Source organism: Homo sapiens, chromosome X, assembly GCF_000001405.40.
Source record: "Homo sapiens chromosome X, GRCh38.p14 Primary Assembly".
Lineage (NCBI taxonomy): Eukaryota > Metazoa > Chordata > Mammalia > Primates > Hominidae > Homo > Homo sapiens.
In genome coordinates, this window is record NC_000023.11 from 150,561,338 (window position 1) to 150,586,075 (window position 24,738).

The 24,738-nt window shown below is 41.0% G+C and overlaps 1 protein-coding gene across 11 annotated transcripts in view, besides 5 other annotated features; it reads left to right on the forward strand.

Moving 5' to 3' along the window:
* The first annotated feature begins 1,315 nt into the window (after positions 1-1,315).
* MTM1 (myotubularin 1) overlaps positions 1,316-24,738 on the forward strand; it is a 110,491-nt gene continuing 87,068 nt past the window's right edge. For 5 of the 11 annotated variants that reach the window (XM_011531171.2, NM_000252.3, NM_001376906.1 and 2 more), the window contains exon 1: positions 7,284-7,325. The gene's annotated coding sequence lies outside the window, so the exon portion shown is untranslated. Of the gene's footprint in view, positions 1,684-7,283; positions 7,382-24,738 lie in introns of those variants that run through there. The other 6 variants (XM_047442133.1, XM_047442134.1, XM_017029548.2 and 3 more) reach the window with 2 other exon arrangements.
* Positions 3,957-4,879: an enhancer, noted in NCBI's record as "H3K27ac-H3K4me1 hESC enhancer chrX:149733744-149734666 (GRCh37/hg19 assembly coordinates)". NCBI's record gives its function as "activates a minimal SCP1, AML or CMV promoter by ChIP-STARR-seq in primed H9 embryonic stem cells {active_cell/tissue: H9 hESC(primed)}" and the evidence as "EXISTENCE:reporter gene assay evidence [ECO:0000049][PMID:30033119]".
* Positions 4,880-5,801: an enhancer, noted in NCBI's record as "OCT4-NANOG-H3K27ac-H3K4me1 hESC enhancer chrX:149734667-149735588 (GRCh37/hg19 assembly coordinates)". NCBI's record gives its function as "activates a minimal SCP1, AML or CMV promoter by ChIP-STARR-seq in naive H9 embryonic stem cells {active_cell/tissue: H9 hESC(naive)}" and the evidence as "EXISTENCE:reporter gene assay evidence [ECO:0000049][PMID:30033119]".
* Positions 7,086-7,765: a silencer, noted in NCBI's record as "silent region_21050". NCBI's record gives its function as "represses an Ori minimal core promoter by ATAC-STARR-seq in GM12878 lymphoblastoid cells {active_cell/tissue: GM12878}" and the evidence as "EXISTENCE:reporter gene assay evidence [ECO:0000049][PMID:35858748]".
* Positions 12,706-12,755: an enhancer, noted in NCBI's record as "active region_30021". NCBI's record gives its function as "activates an Ori minimal core promoter by ATAC-STARR-seq in GM12878 lymphoblastoid cells {active_cell/tissue: GM12878}" and the evidence as "EXISTENCE:reporter gene assay evidence [ECO:0000049][PMID:35858748]".
* Positions 13,775-13,874: an enhancer, noted in NCBI's record as "active region_30022". NCBI's record gives its function as "activates an Ori minimal core promoter by ATAC-STARR-seq in GM12878 lymphoblastoid cells {active_cell/tissue: GM12878}" and the evidence as "EXISTENCE:reporter gene assay evidence [ECO:0000049][PMID:35858748]".

Sequence of the window (24,738 nt, forward strand, 5' to 3'; positions counted from 1 at the left end):
TGACCATATATTTTAAGGTTTCTGTCTGGTCTCTTTATTCTATCCCATTGGTATAAATGTCTGTCTTTATGCCAGTATCACACTATTTTGATTACTATAGGTTTGTAAGGTTTTGAAATCAGGAAATGTGAGATCTCCAACTTCATTCTTCTTTTTCAAGATTGTTTTGGCTATTTGGGGCCCCTTGATTTTCATGTGAATTTTATGATGTATTTTTCTAGTCTAAAAATAAAATATCTCTGCTGTTGAGATTTTGATAGCGACTACATTGAATTTGTGGATCACTTTGGAATGTATTTACATGTTAACAATATTGAGTCTTCTAATCCCTGAACACAGCTGTCTTTCCATTTATTTGTGTCTAATTTATTTTAGCAATATTTTGCAGTTTTCATTGTAAAAGTCTTTTGCCTCCTTGATTAAGTTTATTCCTATTTTATTCATTTTAATTAATCTTAAATAACACAATTTCGTTCAGGTTCAGCAAATATTTGCTGACATTCAGTTTTGTTTTTGTTTTTGTTTTTTGAGGCAGTCTCACTCTGTCACCCAGGCTGGAGTGCGGTGGTGCAATCTCGGCTCACGGCAGCCTCTACCTCCTGGGTTCAAGCGATTCTCCTGCCTCAGCCTCCCAAGTAGCTGGGATTACAGGCACCTGCCACCACACCTGGCTAATTTTTGTATTTTTAGTGGAGACGAGGTTTCACCATGTTGGCCAGACTGGTCTCAAACCTCAAGTGGGACCTCAACTGATCCACCTGCCTTGGTCTCCTAAAGTGTTGGGATTACAGGCATGAGCCGCTGAACCCGACCTCAGGTTTTTTTAATCTTTTATTTTTTCCCTTCTCATATATTCTCTCTTGGTTTTAATCTTGGGTCTACAAATCTGTGTTTGAGAAGTAGCATACTACACACCTCAACATGAATCAGGCCCTTCAAATAAAAGATAAAGCTCTTTTTAAAAAGCCTGTTTTGAGTAAAACACACTTGACTGTATCGTGAAACATTTCCTCATAGGGCTTACTTTCTTAAAAGTTATTTAGTGTAACAACTGAGGTTTCTTTTATTTTTATCTTATTTAAGTCTTTGTAATTGGGGGTAGAAGGAGAGGATCTTGTGAGTTGGGTTTAGTTTTATTTGTGATCTGACTGGGGCAATTTTGTCATGGTGTTGCCTGTGGACTAGACTTCAAAGTCCTCGGTGAATACCCTATATGTGCCTAGTGATGAAGGAAGCAAACAGGACTGGCACTTGGAAACATTGTGATGTCATGACCATAAGCCCTTTGTGCTGGCCCCGGTGTCCAAGAAGCCCTGAGACAAAGAACCTGGGTTTCTCTCTGTATGTGTTTTCATGTCCCATTACTTGGCTCAAACTTCCATCTAGCACCTGGCAAAATAGAACCTGCTGACCAGCGGGGCCTCCTCAAGGAGGCTCCAACTTAACATTGAGCTCTGTGAGAAAGTGGAAGCAAAATACCAGTGAGAAGCAATAGCAGTCTCGTCTGCCCAGGAGCAGAGTGTACAGGTTGGCTTTCACGGTCTCCTGGAGCCCCACTGCACATGTGCCTGCAGATCACTGGCAGCTCCCAGAGAGAAGCTGGGGGAAGCTTCTGATCCCTGGGGCCCACAAGGGTAATGCTCTCTCTGTCTGGGATGTAGATCCCAGGTCTCCTGCATCCAGGTAAGCTCTCTCTGTCCTGCCCCCATTAGGCTGGGCTCTGTCTTCTCCTGCTTCGGGAATGATAGAAATGTTCTATTTCTTGATTGTGATGGTGAACAGACTGGGTAGCACATCCTTGTTATTTTCACGGCAAGCATCACCACTCTCTCCCCTTCAAGACCCCAGTCCTCTTAGAAAACAACCAACCCACCAACCAACCAAAAAGAGATAGACAATTCTGGGCAGCCTTAGGAATCTTAACTGAGGCTATGTCTTCTTGTCTTCTTCCCATGCTTAAATCTCAGCTTTTTTTTTTTTTTTTTTTTTTTTTTTGAGACAGAGTCTTGCTTTGTCACCCAGGCTGGAGTGCAGTGCAGTGATCTTGGCTCACTGCAACCTCTGCCTTCCGGGTTCAAGCGATTCTCCTGACTCAGTCTCCTGAGTAGCTGGGACTACAGGCACGTGCCACCACACCTGGCTAATTTTTGTATTTTTAGTAGAGACGGGGTTTCACCACGTTGGTTAGGCTGGTCTTGAACTCCTGACCTCGTGATCTGCTTGCCTCGGCCTCCCAAAGTGCTGGGATTAAATCTCAGCTTTATTGGGCCGGGCACGATGGCTCACGCCTGTAATCCCAGCACTTTGGGAAGCTGTGGCAGGTGGATCACCTGAGGTCAGGAGTTCAAGACCAGCCTGGCCAACATGGTGAAACCCCGTCTCTACTAAAAATACAAAAATTAGCTGGGCGTGATGGTGCACACCTGTAATCCCAGCTACTTGGGAAGCTGAGGCAGGAGACTCACTTGAACCTGGAAGGCAAAGGTTGCAGTGAGCCAAGATTGTGCCACTGCACTCCAACCTGGAAGGCAGAGTAAAACTCTGTCTCAAAACAAACAAACAAAAAAAACAAACTCAGCTTTACCGAAGTATAACTTATCTGCAGTGAAATTCGCCCATCTCATGTTTATAGTATAATGATTTGGGGGCAATTGTATATGGTTTCATGATCGTGTCAACAATCAAGACACAGAACATTTCTATCAATCACCCCCAAAACTTTCCTCTTGCCTCTTTGGAGTCAATCCCCCACCCACCTCTAGGCTGACCTCTGGCCCCAGTCAACCATAAATCTGCTTTCTATCATTATTGTTTTGCCTTTTCCAAAATGTAATATAAATGGCATCATGCAGTATATAATATTTTGTGTACAGTTTATTTCATTTAGCATGATATTTTTGAGATTCATTCAAGTTGTAGCATATATCAATAGTTCTTCCTTTTTATTGCTGAGTAATATTCCATTGGGTGCATATATCACCATTGGCTTAGCTATGGGTTTAATCAGTGGGGATTTGAGATGCTTACATTCTTTTACTATTTTTTATTATTATTATTATTATTTTGAGAGGAGTCTCACTCTGTCGCCAGGCTGGAGTGCAGTGGCACGATCTCGGCTCAGTGCAACCTCCGCCTCCCGGGTTCAAGCGATTCTCCTGCCTCAGCTTCCTGAGTAGCTGGGATTACAGGTGCACGCCACCAAGGCTGGCTATTTTTTGTATTTTTAGTAGAGACGGGGTTTCACCATGTTGGCCAGGATGGTCTCGATCTCTTGACCTTGTGATCCACCCACCTCGGCCTCCCAAAGTGCTGGGATTACAGGCGTGAACCACCGCGCCCAGCTTTTGACTATTATTTTTGAAAGGCTGCTGTGAATATTTGAATACACGTCTTTTTGTGAACGTATGTTTCCATATATCTTGGATAAATACCTAGGAATAGTATTGCTCGGCCATATGTACATTTACCTTTGTAATTCACTGCCAAACCATTTTCCAAAGGGGCTGCACTATCCTGCTGAGGCTGCTTTTTAAATACAGACTGGGGTTGGGGAGGAGGAGGTAGGCAGAGCTGCTTTGCAGTTCTCCTAGATTCAGAAGTTAGACCTGGCATTCATGTGCTTCACAACAAGCTTATGAAGGAGTTAATGAATAAAACCCATTTCACAGATGAGGAAGTAGAGGTTTGGAGAGGTGTACTTGCCCGAAGTCACACACCTAACAAATGGAAGAGCTAGGATTTAAACCCTGGAACCTTTGTGTCAGTGCACAGGGGCTTACCCCCTATCCTCTCCCATCTCTCTCCCCAGTGATCACCGTGGCAACTTGGGAATTCTGCTGCCTTGACACTCTATACATCACATTTACATCTATCCTCAAGGGGACACAACGACCCTGGGAGGTGGCATTCAACCCCTTTTTTTCAGAGGAAGCAGTTAATGATCAGAGAGGTGAAGTGACTTTCCCAAGGCCAACAGCTTGCCTATAGAATTTCTGGGACCTGAATCAGGTTTCCTAGTTCCAAGTGCTTTCTGCTAGAGCATGGTAACCCACAGCTACATTTAAAATTTTTCATTCCTAATTTTCTTTTTCTTCAGCCTTCTCTTTCCTCAGTAAGAATGCCCCTCCCTTTCCTCCACCTTCCCCTGCCTCAGGCCCAATACATTGAACCTGGTAGGATTAAGTTGAGGCAGGAGTGGGGACTGGGGAGATCAGAGCATAGAGGCCAAGGGAGAAGTAGCAGGAAACAGGCCATTTCCTCGCTCGGGCCTGCTTCTTATCTAGGAGGTGAGAGGCCAGAGGTGGAGGTAAGGGATGAAGCCAACCAAATCCAGAGTGCAGGCTCCTCCTGGTGCTGCCTAGCCTGCCTCCCCCAACTGCAGAGAACAGGATGAAGCCTCTGAAGGTAGGAGGTGCCTCCAGCCCTCCAGCCTGTGCCTTAGCAAAAGCGGGAGGACTCTGGGGGAGAGGGGCGGAAACAGGTGTAGGCTGTGCTACTCAGAAGGGTTGTGGAAGAAGCAGCCTGAGGTCGCATCTATTGCCCCCTCCTCTCTATTGTCCTGGAGCCCTGGAGAGGGAGGCCAGCCATCTTCTCACAGGCCTCCTGCATGATGGGGGGGTGTATGTGTGCAAAATGCAGGGAAGCCTGAAGATTCCTACACACACACACACACACACACACACACACACACACACACTGAAATGTGAGTGCAGCCCCAGCCTGGAAGAGGGCAGGCTCAGTCAAGAATACAGCGATGTCACCAAGGGCAAGGCGGTAACCCCTCCATAGTGTACAACCTTGTTTGTTTGTTTGTTTTGAGATGGAATCTCACTCTGTCACCCAGGCTGAAGTGTAGTGGTGCAATCTCAGCTCACTGCAACCTTCACCACCCGGGTTCAAGTAATTCTCCTGCCTCAGCCTCCCGATTAGCTGGGATTACAGGCGCCCACCACCACGCCTGGCTAATTTTTTTGTATTTTTAGTAGAGACGGGGTTTCACCATGTTGGCCAGGTTGGTTTCGAACTCCTGACCTCAAGTGATCCGCCCGCCTCGGCCTCCCAAGGTGCTGGGATCACAGGCCTGAGCCACCGCGCCCAGCCCATAGTGTACAACCTTTACAGTTTTCAAAGTGCTTCCTCATCTGTTGCCTCATTCGATCTCTGCACCTACACCGTGAGACAGGCACGGCAGGGGTTACTCTCTCCATTTCACAGGCCAAAGGCTAATCTTCTCTACTGGCCCTTTCTGGTTGAATTGCATCTTTCTAGAGGTGGGGCTGGGCTGGGGCTGGACCCTGGAAAAATCTTCAGGAATTACCTCCTTAGGATGAGACCATCCCTGCTCTGCACCTTCCCCACCTCCTAACCCCCAGCTCCTCCCAGCTCCATCGAAAAGCTTTGGCCTCATCTTGGGACACTTAACCAGGCCTATTATATGCAAGGTATCCCAGGCAGCTGCTGCCCTCCCTCCACCCATCCCCATTTTCCTCTATCCCTCTGCCCTAAGATTCACAGATACCAGGAATCCAGAGTTATTCAGCAGCCCACCAGGGAGCCTCTCTAGCATGCAAATTTACTGAGCGTGCTTTGAAATTCAGCACAAAAGTGAATGAGATTCAAAGGAGTTCATAGTCTGGGGAGGGGAGTTGGCAGAGCAGACGTGTAAGCAAATGATGACATCAGTACAACAAGAAGGGCTGGGTGGGGGAGACTTCTAATTGTGCGGGGGCCCAGGAGCAGCTGCTATTCTGCTGTCTTTCCAGGAGTTTGGCAAATCCAGGAGAGAGGACCAAGTGGAAAGGGCTGGAGGAAAGAAAAAACCCAGTGCATCAAGTTCCCTGGAACTAGGCCAGAGCTTGGGGTGAAGAGCAAAAAGAGGCACACTGGGAGAAGTGGCTAAAGAGTGGGTTGGGTTGGATTCTGGATGGCTTTGTTACTCTTCTAAGAAGTCTAGACTCTTCAATAAAGCATATATATATGCATATATAAATGATATATGAATATATGTGTATATGTGTGTGACTATGTAGAAACACACGTACACATATACACTGGTATCAGGTAAAATGCTGTTTTTAGATGCTGGAGAACTAACACATACAAGAGAAAAAAAACAGGTCATGATAAAGTCATCCTATTTACTCGAACTGCTCGCGTATAAGTATTATGCAGTACAAAGAATATTATGCTCATTTTTCTATGTGCCAGGTTGTCTTTTCTTTTTTTAATTTTTTTGACACGCAGTCTCGCTTTGTCACACAGGCTGGAGTGCAGTGGTGCCATCTCAGCTCACTGCAACCTCTCCCTCCCGGGTTCAAGCGATTCTCTTGCCTCAGCTTCCCGAGCAGCTGGTATTACAGACACCTGCCACCACGCCTGGATAATTTTTGTATTTTTAGTAGAGACGAGGTTTCACCATGTCGTCCAGGCTGGTCTCGAACTCCTGACCTCAGGTGATCCGCCTGCGTTGGCCTCCCAAAGTGCTAGGATTACAGGCGTGAGCCACCGCGCCCGGCCCAGATTGTTTGTTTTATTTGATTACACAATGAATTCTCTTCTTGAAGTTTGCCTTTCTTCTCTTTTTCCTGTCCCTTTCTTTTTACTGTATCAATAGTTGTCTGACCCAAACCTCAACAAGTAGAAGGAATTTTGGACTGAAATGTTTCCGTTCACTAAGTCTCAATTGCGTTCTTGGAAAGGTGCTGGCACAGCTGAGGGACACCCCAGCTGTTAGTTGAGTTTGTGAATTGCAGATCCTGCCCCAGAGTCAGTGAAATTTCTTTTTCCCTTATACTATCTCAACTTTACGCAGCCAACCCTGTGTACCCAATAATAGCTCAATTTAGTGGCATCCGCTAAAGTCTTGTATAGAGAAGTTTTCCCTCTGGATTTCCCCTTTACTGAAGAAAAATGGGGAGACCCAGACAAGGGTCCCGGGACTACGCTTCCCAGCCGCCTCCGCCCGGCGCCCAGTCCAACTTCCCTTACAGGGATGGCCCCTGGCATCTTGGCCCCGCCCATCCCCAGCACCATATTGCGAACTACAATTCCCAGCTGCCTCCATGCGTCGGACCCTTCAAAATGGGCTTCCCAGCAGCCTCTCGGGCGAAGAGCCCCGCCCTTCGGAGCTGCTCCCCAGGTCGACCCGGCGCACTCTTCCTGCCCCCTGCCCCGTCACGTGATGCAGTCCCGCCAACCGGCACGGGGAGGCGGGCAGCGGGCGGTGGCCGGGGGCGGGCAGGCCGTGGGGGGCGGACCCCAGAGGGGGCGGAGCAGGGCCCGGCAGCCGAGCAGCCTGGCAACGGCGGTGGCGCCCGGAGCCCGAGGTGGGTGCGCGCTCACGGCTGGCCTGGCTCGGAGCCGGGCACTGCGGGGACCCGTGGTGAGGGGATCGGGAGGAGGAAGTTGGGACTCCTTGGGCCAGCGGGTCGCGCGGGGCCTTGCCGCACCGTCAGGGTTGGGTGGGGGTTTCGTCCAAGCGCCGTCGCTGTCCCCGCGGGGCAGGGCTGAGGCCAGGGAGCAGCAGGCAGGTACCTCCGGCTTCCTCCCGTTCTCCCCGCCCAAGGTGGCCGGCCGGCGGCGGGCGAAGGTCGGGACGGGGGTAGGGGTTGGCTGGCCGTGGAGCTGGGGGCGGACGTCTCAGCCACTGCCTGGACTTTGCTTCCCCGTCCCGGGGCGGTGAGTGGGCCGGGCGTCCGCCCTGCCTCCCCGGCGACGCTCCGCGGCTGGTCCTCGCCTTGGCCCTCCGCACGGAGCGGGCGTCCGTCGCATCCCCGGTGGGCCCTGCGGAGCGGCCGCAGCCCGGCACTGGCCGCGAAGCCTCGATGGCCGCTCTCGGCCAGTGTTTCTGTGTCATACACGAGAGGTTTATCTGCTTTTGCAACAGTTGAGGGAAGATCTTAGAGGGAACGGTTAGTTCCCTGATACGCAGTCGGAAGTATGTACAGGCACGAGCAAGCGCCCGTGGCCGGGTTGCCTCCCTTAACTGTCTTTTGCTGCGCTCAGGAAGTGAAAACTAATTTTAGTATTTGCCTAAGCAAGTAAGAAGTGAATCTGCTGCAAAAATTATATTAGAGCTTTATAGACGCACGCATCGTTTGAGGCGAAGTGGGTTGCGACTGGTTTTGAAACAGATACACCAGATCTTCACAAGAATAAAATTATAGCATTTTAGAATTGACTGGCATCCTGAAGTTTACATTGTTCATTTGTTTCCTGGATGGGGGAACTGAGGCCCAGAGAGGGTAACTAATATGTCCCGGGCTTCAGGGCAACTTAATGGCAAAGCTAATATCACAAGCCAGCTCTTTGGGGGTATCTTGGTGTCTGTCTAGTCTGGATTCTTTTTACCACAGCTCAGTATTATTCCTTGTGAAATAAGCACCTTAGAGTCTTGAGACTGAGCCAGCAATTTTGCTAGACTGCAAACCATTTTGAATTTCCTTCAAAATCGGTTTACCAACCAAATAAGACAATCAGGCCTGTTACTTTGCAGACACGTTTGCCTTCATCCAACATATATATTGGGCACGATCATGTATTCACCAGATTTGATTCTGAATGGCTTTTGGCTGCTTCACAAAATCAAATCTACTTTTCAGAGATTCCACACCATGGGGGAGATTTGAACCAGTGGTGCTGCCTGCAGCACCAGTGTATAGTACCCTCCCGGGTGCTTGAGGGTGGATAACATTCACGGGGGGCTTGTAGATTCTAGTGTAGTTAGTAAATGATTGGTCTCTTTAACTTAAAGTTCTAACTACATTTATTAAGTTGTCGATGGTTTCATTCATTCATCAAACACAAGAATGCCAACGGTGGGCACTGGGAAGACAGCAAAGAGCCCCACTGCTGAGGTCCCTGCCTTATAGAGTTTATATGTGGGGAGGCACACAATAAAAAAATAAACAATGATATATTTTCTGGCAGAGATGAGCGCTATGAGAAAAAATAGAGCTCTGAAACCTTACAATGACAGTGAAACAGGCTGGCATGATTGAGAATGACTTGGGCATTACTTTGAATTTCTAGTTTTAGATTGCCAGCTGCTGCTCCAGTAAAGGAAATAAATCCAAAAGTAAATCTCTGAATCAAAGAGATTTTTTGGAGTCATCATTTCTCCAATGAGTGTCTTTTAGATGGTAAGCTCATCCCAGCCTCATTTTTACTCACATTTCCCCCCACCCCGACATGCAAACAGTAAGTGATTTCAAATACCTAGAGAGGTATTTTTCAAATCCTTTGCTGTTTTCATAGTTAGATAGCTGACTGTAGCTACAGAAAGCTCTGCTGAGGTCAATATTGGTTGTTGATTTCATGCCGGTGTCTGCTGGACTCTCAGGCTACCTTGCACAAGGGTTTCTCTTCCTGTGCAATGGTTTGTACTGTGAACCTCTTATCTGAAATGATCATCAGTCCTTGTGTGGTTTGTAAAGAAACTAGTTCATTTTGAAATAGCTCAAGAGAAAAGAAGCACTCATTCTTAGGAACAAGAGTGCTCGCTAATAAAATGGCATTAATGAGAGTTGACTGTAAAAGTTCATCTGTTTAATACCTTCTAAGTTCTCTCATATTCTGTATGTTCAATGGCTTCAAAGCAAAATTTTAAACTTTTACAGGTCTGAAAAATAATTAAAGTTACAAAAAATACTTTAATATTTTTTGTTCCAAAATGAGAGGCAGATTAACAAAATGTAGTTACTTAGAAACCACTGAAAACACATGGTTCTTGCTCTTATTGAGGGCTCCAAAATAAAGAGAAAAGTGGAGACTCTCAACGATTAATAGGTGACATTTTAAAGGGGTAACCAGAGGATTTCAAAGGCTGGAGTTTCTCATTTCTAAAGTTTATTCGATTTTGTAACAGAATAATAGATTGTTTTCATTATTCTTTAGTAATTTTCCTTTCCTGTTTTCGACCTCTTTGAAGTTCTGCTTTCATTATTTTCTAGTTTTCTAGTTCTTTATTTCCTTTTTGGCAGATGTGGGGGATAGGGACCGTCATTTGCCTAGAAGATTTTGACTCTGGATTGGGCAGCCTGCCCCAATTTGAATCCTGGACCTAATATTATCTGTGTGACTTTAGGCAAGGTACTTAACTCTGTGCTTTAGTTTCCTTATCTGTCAAATGAGAATAATAATAGTACCTTTCTCAAAGGGTTGCTGGAGGGACTGAGTGAATAATCTATGCTAAGTGCTTAGAAAAGTGTCTTGCATGTAGTAGACACTAAAGAAAAGCTGTTATTGACTTGAACGATATGGAACTCTTTTGTTTTTAAGAAAATACATTATTCTAGCTATGTCTTAATAAACTTTTGGAATCCAGTAGCTTGCTTTTCTCGACATTTCTCTGCATTTCCTTGTTGGCACGAGCTTTTGGTTCCAGGCGACGCTGGCAGCAGTGTCCTCCGTTCTTGCAGTGCTATATTCCCTTTACCATTTGGACTTAGAAATTTCTTGAGGCCAAATTTTGTTGCTACAAACAATAATAGAGCAAGAGAGGCCTTCTTCTAGTTTATCTGCCTTGAAAGTGAGAGTGTATCAGGAGACCCAGTAGGAGTTACTGAGTTAGGTCCCGTTGTCATCCTGTAGTTGGGGGAAGATTTTTCATTGGAAATCTTTGCAGTGTATTTTTCCACTGTGAGTACCACGACAGTCTCATCTTTTTCTTTTTAAGAATGTGGAGGCATCTCTTTAGATAATTGGCATTGTGTACTACTAGTGCTTTCTATTTCTACCAGAGGAACTATGGTAAATGAGCCTTTTGTTTGTGTGAGGTGGTAGAAAGCTTCCTGCATTTGGATTCCAGAAGCTGAGTTCAGGTCCCAGTTCTCTTCCTTAACTCTGTGTCACTGGACAAGTCATTTAACCTTGCTGCTAGTGGCTCTTCCATCTGTAAGATAGAGCTAATAAAACCTGCCCTGCCAAGTTTCCAGAGTTCGTCAGAGAATCAAATGTGCCTCAGAGCCCTTTGTAAAGTGTGCAGCATTATTATTATTGCATGAATGTGTTGTATAAGCAGTTGCTATTTGGAGAACTGGTATAAGAGGGCAGTTGTCCTTCCTGTTCTTGGACTGTCTTCCCTGTGGCTGTAGGTGTGGCCTCTCTGCCTCAATCTCCCTCTTCTGTCATCATTAAAATATGCAGGTATTTATATTGCCTCTTTCATAGGGGCCTGATGTCACTGGTATACCATAACAAGTTTTTGTTTTATGTATTCCTAAAATGGTAGTAGTGTATAACCAACAATCACAGGGTGACAGCAAGGCAAGCTCAGCCTCAGGGAATGTTGCCTGCCTCTCCCAAGTGTCTCAGAATGGAAGACTTTCTCTTTTCCAATCGAGACCTGACCGCAGCTCCTGAGTCCATACTAGACTGGATGCTTGTGCTTCTGGGGTTAGAATAAAAAGCGATCCAGGCTCTGGGGAAGAGATGGTTGATAGCTCCCCAGGTCTGTACCATCCTCCTTGCTGGAACAGGGCAGGCTCCTGAGTGATAGGGCAGGCGCCTGAGCGGCCTTTTCTCGTTAAAGTTGTTTCTCAGTATCTTGAAATGTCTCTGTAAGTTGCACTTTGCAATGAATTTCATGTACTTGTATTAGTTTAGTATTGCTGTTCCTTGACTGTTTGTCTTAATAGGTAACTCCTACATATTTCAGTATGTTTTTCATTTTCTATGATTGTAATAAAAAGGGCGAGGTTGGAGATATTTTTTCTGATTGTCTGAAACCTAAGATGGTCCTATACACACAGTAGACATTTAGTAAACATTATTTAACTTGAACTAGACAAAGGAGGCCAGCTTAGAATTGTTCACACATGATCATTGTAACCAATTCTGTTGCATGTCTAGAGATCATGCTCCCTGTCTGCCAGATGAAATGGAGCTCATGCTTAACCTTTCTTGCCGTGGTCAAACAGCAAATGAGAAAGTTCTTTGAATCAGTCATTGTCTTGCCACCCTTTTCTTCTCAGCTTCTTGATTTTTGAACTCTTGGCATGAGCAGTTTGAGTACAGATTAGTTTTTGCTTTGCTTGCTAGTATGTTTGGGGTGGGAAGTTGAAGGGGGAATAATTGAAAGTAAAAATAAAAGTTGTTTGTAACTCATTCATCTCTTATCCCCTTGCCTCCAAACCCTGACAGCACACAGCAATGCCCTTTCTTTAGCATGTGATAATTGTTATATTTTGATAGCATGTCCTTGAACTTTTTTGTGAGAAGGAAGCATTGTTTATTTCCCAGAGCCTTTTGCTTGGAATGTAATGGATTGCTACATCAGTTATCCTTTCCCCTTCTTGGGAGATGTAGAGGCAGAGGTGGGTTATAAGGTAGATTCTTAGCATCAGGTGGTGGTGCTTTAAATTCCCTTATATGACTTTTAAATTGCTTTATGGCCCTGAGACAACTTAGGTGGGGATTTAGGAGAATAGGTACTATGCTGGAATCCAGCAGGCCTGGAATTGGCCCAAGCTCTTTTACTGAAATAAGAAATGTACCTGCCTGCACAGCAGTGACCCTTGGCCATGACATGAAATATACCTGCGTGTCAGTACTGTTTGTGGATAACAGTAAGAAGGAAAGTTTGCACTTGGTTTCAGTGAGACCCCAGGAGGGCGCTGCGGTTAACACGGGTTATGTGACTAGGAGGATATGAGAAACCCCAGCCAGTATTCCATTTTGAGTTTCCTGGTTCTGAGGTGTTCCTTGCCCATGTCAGTGGTTCTGGATCTGGGAGAGAAAGCACAGGTCCCTACTGCCCTAACAAAGGGAGGACTGACCGTTGGTGCTGGCCCCCACCTCTTTGAATCCCTTGCTTGGAGAGAGAACTGATTTTTTCAAAGTTGAAGCTGAGTCTAACTCTGCTGGACATGTCCTTCCTTCACTATATCAACTCTAATAATCTCCCCAGAGATTCCCATTACGCCTATGGCATGAAACAGGTTTTTCTTATTGATGGGGATTGCCCTTGCTCCCCGGGAGCTGGTGAAACAGGCAGAATTTCAAGCCCCATCCTCACCCACTGAGACCCACCACCGACTCCTTAAGCTGAATGTGAATTTTAATGAGGCCCCCGGGTGATTTTGCAGTAAATTAAAGTTCGGAAATAGTCTAATAGTACCAGCTCATATCCTGGCTTCCCAGTCCTTTAAGATAGCGCTAGCCAATAGAGAATGTGTAATTTAAAATTTTCTAGTAGCCACATTGAACAAGTAAAGAAACAGGTGAAATCAATTTTAATATATTTAACACAGCATGTGCGAAATATTTCAATGTGTCATCGACATAATAATGACACGTTTTTCCTTTTTTGGTACTAAATTGTCAATCAGGTGTATATTTTACATTATAGCCCATCTCAGTTTGGATTAGCCACAGTTCAAGTGTTCAGGAGCTACAGCTGTGGAGAGATACATTTGGTCTTGATTTGCTGAGGATTTCATCAGATTCACTGTCAATGCTTAAATAGCCGCCTCAGTCATAATTTACATTAATATTAGGTGTAATCTTTGCCAAGTCCTTAGCCCAGTGCTTTTACATCAGGTCTCATATGAATCCTCACAGCATCGCTTTGAGGTAAAAACTGTTAAGATCCCCACTGAGTTTCAGAGAGGTTAGGTCTAAGCTGAAGCGTTTAGGAAGCAGTAATATCAGGATTTGAACCCAGGCAAGTCTGACTTCTGGGTTTGCAGCCTCCGCTGCAACTTCCTGCAGCTCTCATGACTACAGGGTTTTTTCTCGGTTTCAGTTTTTAGTTTTGTAAGCCATATTAAAAAGGCACCATTGGTATATGTATGAAATGCAATCTTCTTTCTTGAGGGGAACTTCAAAGAACTCGAGGAATGCCTCTTTCTTCTCTGGCTTTTCAGAGCTGGTGCAGAGTCCCTAAACAGAAGTTTCCTCATAGAGGGAATACCACGGACCAGGAGATTGCCTTTCCTGCTGCTCATTAGAATCACTTGGGGAGTTTTACATACTTGCTGCCCTGGGCATCGCCCACAGATATTCGAACTTAATTGATCTGGGCTGAGACTCTTGACATCTGCATTTTTAAAAAGTGGTCCCAGCGTGCAGCACTACCAGGAGCGCTTCTCCAACTTCATTGCCTTATGAATCACCTGGACTTCGAGTTGAAACACAGATTCTGACTCAGTGGTTCCGGGATGGGCCCGGAGAGCTTTTTCTTCTCATTTCCATCAAGCTCCCAGGTGATGCCAACAGTGTTGCTCTGTGGCTCCCACTCAGAGCAGCAAGCCACATCATAATCACCTGAGGGGTTTTTGCAAAACTACAAATTCCTGGCATCATGCCTGGAGTTTCTGATTCAGTAGGTCTGGGGTGGGGCCCAAGATCTTTACTTGAGAAGGCTCTTGCTTTCAATGTTTCACCATAAAGTATTGTGTTTACTCTAGGTTTTGTGTAGGGGCACTTCTAGTGTACATTTTTTTCGGTCATAAGTGGATGTTGAGTTTTATCAAGCCCCTTTTCTTCCTTTATGGAGATAGGTTTTTGGTTTGTGTTTTTGTAGAGAGGGCTTCTTACTGTGTTACCCAGGCTGGTCTCAAACTCCTGTCCTCAAGCAATTCTCCTGCCTCAGTCTCCCAAAGTGCTTAGGATTACAGGCGTGAGGGAGAACCTGTGTTTTCCCTCCTTGAACTTGTTAATGTGGTAGGCTATTTTAAGGGATTTTCTAGTATAACTTTGTAGCATTAACTAAGTTTGTATTGCTGGGATAAACTCAACAGGGTCATGTTCTTTCTTACTGCTGGGTTTGATTGCTAATACTTTCTTTAGGATTTTTACATCTTATATACATAAGATTTGGTATTAGTTTTCCTGTGCTGTCTTGGTCTAGTTTAGTATCATGCTTATGCTAGCCTTATAAAGTGAGTTGAGATATTCCCTTTTTCTGTTCTCTGGAAGTTTGTATAAGATTGGAGTTACTGGTTCCTTGAATGTTGCTAGAACTTGCACATGGAGCTGCCTGGGGCCTGGAAGATTATAAACTACCAGCAAATGTCTGCCAAATCTATAGCTGTGTCTGTCTTTTCATTCCTGCATCCTACTATTGTTTGTTTGTGCCCTCCTTTTTTCTTTATTAGTCTAACCAGAGGTTTGTCAGTTGTGGTTATGGCACCAACTTGATAATATAATTATGTTCATTTGTTTCCCTTTTAGGGCTTTTCCCCTGCTTTTTTGATTAATTTTTAACGAGTAAAAACTTTATATGATTTTGAAGTCACATTTATTTCAAGGTATATTCAGAAAAGTCTTGCTTTCACCCCATCTCTGACCAGGTATTCTGTTTCTTTCCCCCCCGTAGATGATCAATCTTATTAGTTTGTTCTTCTAAGTATCTTTTGCAAATTTGAGCAAGCACGTACATGTATTTTCCCCTTTTCTTGCACAAAAACATATTTCATACACTATTCAGCCTCTTGCCCTTTTCACTTAAAGAATATACCAGGAATCATTCTTCATTTTCTCCTCCTTTCTTTAGATTTATTCTGCTGTTTGGATGTTTCAAAACATAGTATTTTCATGATTATTTAGTTGTGATATTTTCTATTATGATTATTTCATTCACCTGCGAGCTGTTTAGAAGTATATTTTTACTTACAAATGTATTTTCTGGGTATTTTCAAAACTGATTTACAACTTAACTGCATTATGGTGAAAGAATATGATGTGAACACTCGTAGTTCTTTGAAATTTGTCAAGGATAGGCTTATGTGGTATTTTTGTGGCTGGCTTCTTTCACTTAGCATACTGCTTTTTATATTCATTTTTGTGTTGTTGCATGTATCAGCAGTTCCTGACTTTCTGTTGCTGAGTAGTATTCCATAGTATGGTTATAATGTAATTTATTCATTCAGTAGTTGATCATTTGAGTTGATTCAGTTTTTGGCCATTTTGAAAAAAAGCTGCCATGAACATTCACATACAAGTCTTTGTGTGGACTCATGCTTTTATTTGCTTCGTGTAAATACTTAGGTGTGGCATTGCTGGGCCATATGTTTAGTGTATGTTTAACTTTACAAGGAACTGTCAAACTGTTTTCCAAAGTGGCCATGCCATTGTGCCATTTTGCATTCCTACTGGCTTTAATTGTCTGCCTTTAAAATGTTAGCCATTTGACTGGGTGTATAATGGTATCTCATTGTATTTTTAACTTACAAATTCCTAGTGACTAGTAATAGTGAGCATGTCTTTATGTGCTTGTTGGCCATTAAGTTTATCTTCTTTGGTGAAGGATTTGCTGAAATCTTTTGCCCATTTCTTATTAAATTGGATTGTCTGTCTGAAGTTGTGAGGGTTCTTTTTATATTCTGGATACAAGTACTTCATCAGATATGTGATTTGCAAGCATGTTCTCTCAAACTGTGGTTTGTCTTTCATTTTCTTAACTGTGCCTGTGCAAGAGCAAGGAGTTTTGATTTTGATGAAGTCCTATTTACTTTTTCCCCTGTTATGGTTTGAGTTTTTGTGTTTTAAGAAATCTTTACTTAACCTAAGTTCACAAAAATTTTCCCCTGTGTTCCTTCCAGAACTTTTTTAGTCCTGCTCTTATGTTTAGATCTGTTTTGGCAGACAGATCTTTCCAACCCCTGGTGTTTATACCTGTGTGATCCCCTTCCCTTGAGTGTGAGCAGGACCTGTGACTTGCTTCTAGAATATAGACTAGAATATGGAAAAAGTGTAGGGATTCTACAGATATAATTAAGGTCACAACCAGTAGATTTTGAATTAATCAAAAGAGAAGTTATCCTGGGTAGGCCTGAATTAATCAGCACAAAACCCTTAAAAGAAGGTCTGGGTCCTCCCCGAGGTGAGATTCTCTTTGCTGACTTGTTGATGTGAGCAGCCACATTGAGGAAGGCCACATAGAAAGGAACTGCAGGTGGTCTCTAGGAACTAAAAGCTGCTTAGCAAAAAGCCAGGGCCTTCAACCATGCAGCCTAAAGGAAATGAGTTCTGCCAACACTCTGAATGAGCTTGGAAGCAGATTTTCCCCAGTTGAGCCTCCAGATGAGAATGCAGCCTGGCCATTACCTTGATTGCAACTTTGTGAGACCCTGAGCAGAGGACCCAGCTAAGCTGTGCCTGGACACCTGACCCACAGAAACTGTGAGATGATAAATGTGTGCTGTTTATGGCTGCTAAGTTTGTTATTCAGCAATATAAAACTAGTATGTCTATGTTCCATTTCAAGTTAATTTTGTATATTTTGTGAAGTAAGGGTAAAGATTCATTTATTTTTCCATATGGACATCAAACTGTTCCAGCATCATTTGTGGGAAAAGGCCCACACATTTTGGTAATTTTGTTGAAAATCAATTGACCATTGCTAGGACCTCAAAAAGAAGGGCCTAATTATAGTCTCTGTTCTGTTCCATTGATCTGTATGTCTATCCTTATACCAGTACTGCAGTGTCTTGATTACTGAGGCATTATAATAAGTCTGGGGATCAGGTAGTGGAAGTACTGCAACTTTTTTTTTTTTTTCTTTTCAAGATTGTTTTGAATATTCTTGGTCGCTTGCCTTTCCATACAAATTTTGGAATCATCTTGTCCAAGCCTGTTGGGATTTTGATAGGGATTTCATTGACTTTGTAGATCAATATTGACATCATGACAATTAGGAGTCTTTGATCCGTGAGCATGCGATATGTATCTATATATCTCTATCTATCTATCTATCTATCTATCTATCTATCTATCTGTATATTTTTGTTTTGAGATGGAGTTTCGCTTTTGTTGCCCAGGCTGGAGTGCAATGGTGTAATCTCAGCTCACTGCAACCTCCGCCTCCTGGGTTCAAGCGATTCTCCCGCCTCAACCTCCTGAGTAGCTGGGATTACAGGCACCCGCCACCACACCCAGCTAATTTTGTATTTTTAGTAGAGACGGGGTTTCTCCATGTTGGTCAGGCTGGTCTTGAACTCCTGACCTCAGGTAATCTGCCCGCCTCGTCCTCCCAAAGTGCTGGGATTACAGGCATGAGCCACCACGCCTGGCCCAAGCATGCAATATTTCTCCATGTATTTAGGTCTTTAATTTCTCTCAGCAATGTTTTGTAGCTTTCAGTGTGTGATTCTTGGACGTATTTTGTTCAGTGTTTCCCTAAGTATTTCATTTTTTTTGGTATTGCAAATGACATTTTTAAAATAAAGTTTTTTGAGACAGGGTCTTGTTCTGTTACCTAAGCTGGAGTGCAGTGGCATGATGGTGGCTCACTGTAGCCTCAACCTCCTGGGCTAAAGTGATCCTCCCTCCTCAGCCTCTCAAGTAGCTGAAGACTACAGGTGCATGCCCCCATGCCCAGCTAATTTTTTTTTTTTATGTTTTGTAGAGATAGGGTCTTGCTGTATTGCCCAGGCTGGTCTCAACTTCCTGGGCTCAAGTAGTCCTCCTGCCTCAGCCTCCCAAAGTGCTGAGATTTCAGGCATGAACTATAGCACTGGGCCAGTATTTTTATATTTCAGTGTTCATATGTTCATTGCTAACAATACAAATATAATTAATTTTTATATTGGCTTTGTGTTTTATGCAGCCTTACTAAATTTACTTATTCTAGTAGTTTTTTTGTAGTATTCTTAGGATTTTTTTTGCATACATGATTATGTTGTCTGTAAATACAGTTTTACTTCTTTTTTCCAATATGTTATGTGTTTTGAACTTGCTAGAAGCTCTAAAAGATGTTAAATACAAGTGATAAGAGTGACCGTCCTTGCCTTGTTCCCACTCTTATTGGTGAAAGAAGAAATGCTTTCTAAGTGTGATGTCAGCTGAAGGTTTTTCATAGGTGCCCTTGACAATTCCTGATTTCCTGAGGGTGTTTTTAAAAATCATGGATAGATGTTGAATTACGTTAATAGAAGCCACGTCTCAGATACAATCTTCAGGAAGATAGCACACCTCATGAATAGTCTTACTGACTATACATATCACCACATTTATACCCATTCTTAACCACCACTACCCAGCTTTTCCTCCTAGTGTCGATAACAGAATTTCCATCTGGATCTTGGGAATTCTTTGTGGAGCAGCATATACTGCTCCTTCAAAAGACATAGATCTTCTCTGCGAGATTCACATGTATCATTATTTTAGAACTGGAATTTCTTCATCCTCTCTTTCCTTGCCATTCTTTTAACACTGGTTTTGGTTCTTCTTCATCTTGCCTTTTTTATTTCTGCCTTTTTTTTTTTCAGGTTATTTCTGCCCCATCTGTGAAACCTTGTCTGCCAATAGTGCCAAGTTATAAAAATATGTACGTTCAGTCCTTTCACCTTCTTCTGTAACAAGGATACGTGGTTGTTTGTATTTGTGACTGGAAGAAGTAACTGCTCCAAGTATGAAGATAACTATTGTCCATACTCTCTAGGTCATGGCAAGTCTTTCTCCTTCTGATTCTCCCAGGATCCTAATTAAGCCATCTTTGGGGATTCCCTTTGCATACTCCTTCTCTACTATGGCAAACTGCCTGTTGGGCAAGCTGCTACTCCTACTGCTTATCTCTGCTAACCTTCAAGGTCAACCTGCTCTTGCAAGTTAGGACTAATTAAGATGTATCAAGCCCAACATTCTCAACAATCAAAAGACCCTAGGCAGCGTTCCAAAAGCCCCATGTAGAGGAAGGTCAGGAAGTTCCAAATCCAAATTATTCAATGTATTTTGGAACTCTTCTTTGGATTGACTTCAGAGACCAGGCACCTTTAAAAAAATATCCTCGCACCTTTAAAAAAAATATCCTCAAAGGCTCTAGGCCAAAATCATTTTGTATCACCTCTATTAATACATAGAATGGGCACCGGTGCTGTATGGAGCATTGGTTTTGGTTTAAAAATTAAGATATGGTTAAAGTTCATGAGATGGTACCTTATGTAGCTTTAAATTCCAAAGGCAGTTTCAAAAGAATAATTCAAAGAATACTTTGAACAGTGGCCACATTGCTGGAATTTGTGTACACCATCAAAGGGGACTACTTTGAAGAATAACTCAGCTATATATGATCTGACAGGCTTTTTAACAAATGCCTCATTACATGATAGTTGCACCTCATGGGGTGTTTTGTGCACTAGTAATAAAAACTTTCTCCTTTTAAAAGATAGTTTTAATAAAGACTAAGTGGATACAAATAAATAGTAGACAATCAAGGGTTGTGCTGTTTCAGTGACTCACAGACATGGATTTCAGGGGAAAAAGCCTATTTGTTGACTCATCTTTAAAGTGAAGTCTAGGGTTCTTCTTTGTGACCATCAGATTTTATCACGTGGATGAAATTCCGAAAAGATTTTTTTTATCCAGCTGTGCAAGCAGGAGGCATGATGTCCTCATTTTAATATGATCATCTATGAGAGAATGAGAATGACAGATATCTATCTGTTAGTGGATGAGAGGGCCGGTCAGATTGCCTAGATTTCAGTTCCACCTTTGACAGTTATTAGCAGACAAATTGTTTAACCTTCCTGTTCCTTGTGTTTGTCAGTTGTCATATGATGATAGTAATACCTAGTTGCCTTTTAAGGTTTTGGTGGGGATTAAATGACTTAATCTGTGATTAGAACAATGTCTGACAGGTAGTAGATGATCTGTAAATGAAAGCCGTGATCATTAGCATAAGCAGATACTCTGTTTTGCTTTAATTGTATCACCTCTGTTATTGTCTTTATTACTATTTAACCTTTTTTATACATATTAATTATCTTTATTGTTATCTAAACATTTGTTTGTCATCTTCCCAACTCAGTTTTTAGCTCCTTGAAGACATATCTCAAATTTTTTTGGTTGAGGGGAGGGGGAACTCTCCATTGTGGTCCAGAGTAGCTGCCCACTATATAGTTACTGATTGTGAACTCTTTGGAAACAAGATTTAAATAATGATATATGCTGAGTTAGGAGTATCTCAGAATGACTGGCTTGTTGTCATTTCATTATTTCTTCTAAAAAACCATATTATTATTTCAGTACTAGTTAATTTCATAGGTATTCATTGAATGCTTATGGATAGATTGACAAATGAAATTGTTCTGAATGTAACCATATGTTGACATGACCATTTTATAGATTGTTAATTTCTGTAGCCAACCTCCTGCCTATTATGGGTTGAATTGTGTCCCCTAAAAAGATATACTGAAGCCCTAGTCCCTATTTCCTCAGACTGGGGTCTTGTTTGTTACTGCAGTTGTAGTTAGTTAAGATGAGGTCATGCAGCACTGGAGTAGGGTGGACTCCTCATCCAGCATGACTGGGGTCCTTATGAAAGAGGAAAGCACCATGTGAAAACACAGACACACAGGGAGAAAGCCATGTGACAACAGGCAGAGAGATTGGAGTGGTGAAGCTGCAAGCCAAGGAATGCCAAGGATTGCAGCCACCACCAGAAGCTAGGGAGAGGCAAGGAAGCATTCTCCCCTAGAGGCTCCAGATGGCACATGGCCTAGCTGACACCTTGATTTTGGACTTTGGGCCTCCAGAACTGTGAGAGAATTTATTTCTGTTCTTTTAGGCCATCCAGTTTGTGGGACTTCTTTACAGCAGCCCCAGGACACCAATAGACTGCCCATCTGCTTGAATTAGAGTGTTGACAAGCTTGGGATTTCATTTCAAACGGTGGATTTGCCTATGTTTTCATCTATTATCCATCTTCTCCAGATACTTTGATTTAAATATATAAATATAAATACATATTTATATATTTAAATATAATTTATATAATTTATAATTTATATATTTAAATATATATTAAATTATATATATTTATATATAAATTATAAATTATGTAAATTATATATTATATAAATTATAAATATATATAAATTATATATATTATATAAATTATAAATATATATAAATTATATATAAATTATAAATATATAAAAATTATATAAATTATATATAAATTATAAATTTATATAATTTATATAAATTATATATAAATTATAAATATATATAAATTATATATATTATATATAATTATAAATATATATAAATTATATATATTATATATAATTATAAATATATATAAATTATATATATTATATATAATATAATATATATAAATTATATATATTATATTATATATAATTATAAATATATAAAAATTATATATATTATATATAATTATAAATATATATAAATTATATATATTATATATAAATTATAAATATATATAATTTATATATATTATATATAAATTATATATATTATACATAATTTATATATAATATATAATTTATATATAATATATATAATTTATATATAATATATAATTTATATATATTATATATAATTTATATATAATATATAATTTATATATATTATATATAATTTATATATAAATAATTTGTATATATTATTTATAAATATATAAATTATATATATTATATAAATTATATATTATATATAAATTAATATATATTAAATTAATATATATTTAATATATAAAATATATATAAAATATATATTAAATATATATATTAAATATACAAAATATATATAAATATATATCAAATATATAAAATATATATTAAATATATATTAAATATATATATATATTTGATATATATATATATAATATAAAATATATATTAAATTAAAATATATATATTAAATATATGTTAAATATATAAAAATATTTTAAAAATATATTAAATATATATATTAAATATATATTTCCCATACCTGATCTGGCAGCAAATATATTTTTATATATGGCAGCAAATATATATTTTCATATATATATATGAAAATCTGGCACAAAAATACGGTTCTTATATGCATGCTAGGAATGGGAGACGTTTCCAAAGATGCTTATAAAAGCACTGTTTATAATTGAAACCTGGAAACAGCTCAAATGATCACTGGGAGGAGAATGGAAAAACCAAGTGCAAAGCAGTGGACTGCTATGCAGCTGTGAAAATGAGTGGAACACAACTATATGCATCAACATTTATGACTCTCTCAACACTATGTGAGAAAAGCAAGTGGCAGAAGAATATATAATGATTCCATTTACATAAGACTTCAGAAACATGGAAAATCATATTATTTAGGGATGTATACATGTGGAAAATTTTAAAGATATGCAAGGGAATTATAAACCTAAAAATCAGCCCTAGGGAGGTAGGTTGGAGTACCTTTAATGACTGATGACTAACTTCTCCAAAGTCATGAAAGTTTATGAGGGTGATGCTACATTTGTTTCTTCACGGAATACTGAGTACCCAAACTGTGCTTTGTGCTGGTGCCAGAATGGAAAACATGGTCCTTGGCCTTAGGAAGTTCTAGAAATCTAAGAGACGGGACACAAAATATCAAGGCATAAGTACAGGGTAAGAAATGAAATACAATCGTCCCTTGGTATTTGCGGGAAACTGGTTCCAGGACTCCCGAGGATACCAAAATCCTTGGAGGCCCAAGTCCTTGATATAAAATGGCATAGTATTTGCATATAACCTTGCATATCCTCCTGTGTACTTTCAGTCCTCTATAGATTACTTATAATACCTAATACAATGGAAATGCTATGTAAATACAAATAAAAATTAGTATTTGAAGTATTTTTCTATTTGTATTATTTGTATTTGTATTATTTTTTGTCATACTGTTTTTTGTGTTTCTTCCCAAATATTTTTGATCCGCAGTTGGTTGAATCCCTAGATGTGGAACTCCTGGATGTGGAGGGCTGACTATATTAGAAATATGTATGGTGTACAGAGAAGTGGAGAGAGAGAGAGAGAGAGAGAGAAAGAGTGTGTGTGTGTGTATGTGTGTGTGGGGGGAGGTCAGGAAAAGCTTTCCATGTTTTGAAGTAGGTAAATGCCAACAAAGCATATGCCAACGAAGCCCCTGCTTCTGCCTTCAAATGAGAGTACCTAGAGGAATTGTTTCAAATGGCAGGTTATCTCCAACCTTTTCTCCTCTCTTCAGTTTTCTAGATACTGTGCACATCCACTCTAGAGTTCCTTTTTTCCTCCCTCCTCCACTACTGATTCTGCTCAGAAGAATCTTCATCAGTAATGCCCAATGCCTGGGCTTTTCTTTGGGGTCCTTTAGCCCAGACCTGAGAAGGTTCTTGGAAAGTAAGGAGATGTTTTGATCTGGCACCTTTGTTACTATCATAGTTATAACTATTTATACGTTTCTATTCTTCAACAATTACTGTTTTAACTTTTGCTAAATAAGTTACTGTTTACTTATAAATTTAAAATGTACTTTTTGTGAATAGTTCTCACAGGGGAAAATAGTTCAATAAAATGCAGTTTTTTTCATTGAGCAGATCAGCTGGGTTCATGAGTTTTGGAATTGGCAGATGCACGGGAACTTGATCTTGTTCCTATTTTAAAACTTTGTTTACTGGCAGGTATTTGACTGTTAAAAAATCCATTGGTGAGTTTAATGATCTGTTTAAATGTGTGCAGTATTGCTAGGTAGCCTTTGTACATTAAAAACAGATAACCTGATAGTAGTTGACTTTTCTAATAGTTTACTTACCATATCACTTTCAATTTATGAATAATTTCTAAAGTTACCCTGTTCCATGGCCACAGCTCATGCCACTAAAGCCAATCAGCTGTCTTGAAGATGTGCCATTTGTCGTGAGGGGACCAAGAAATAGGGTGAAGAGATCAGCCCAAATCCATCACTAGCCACTGGAAAAAATGATTCAAAATGCATTCTCCACTGAGTCTGAATTACATTATTTTTAGCCAAAGGTCTTTGCAACATTTAAAGAAA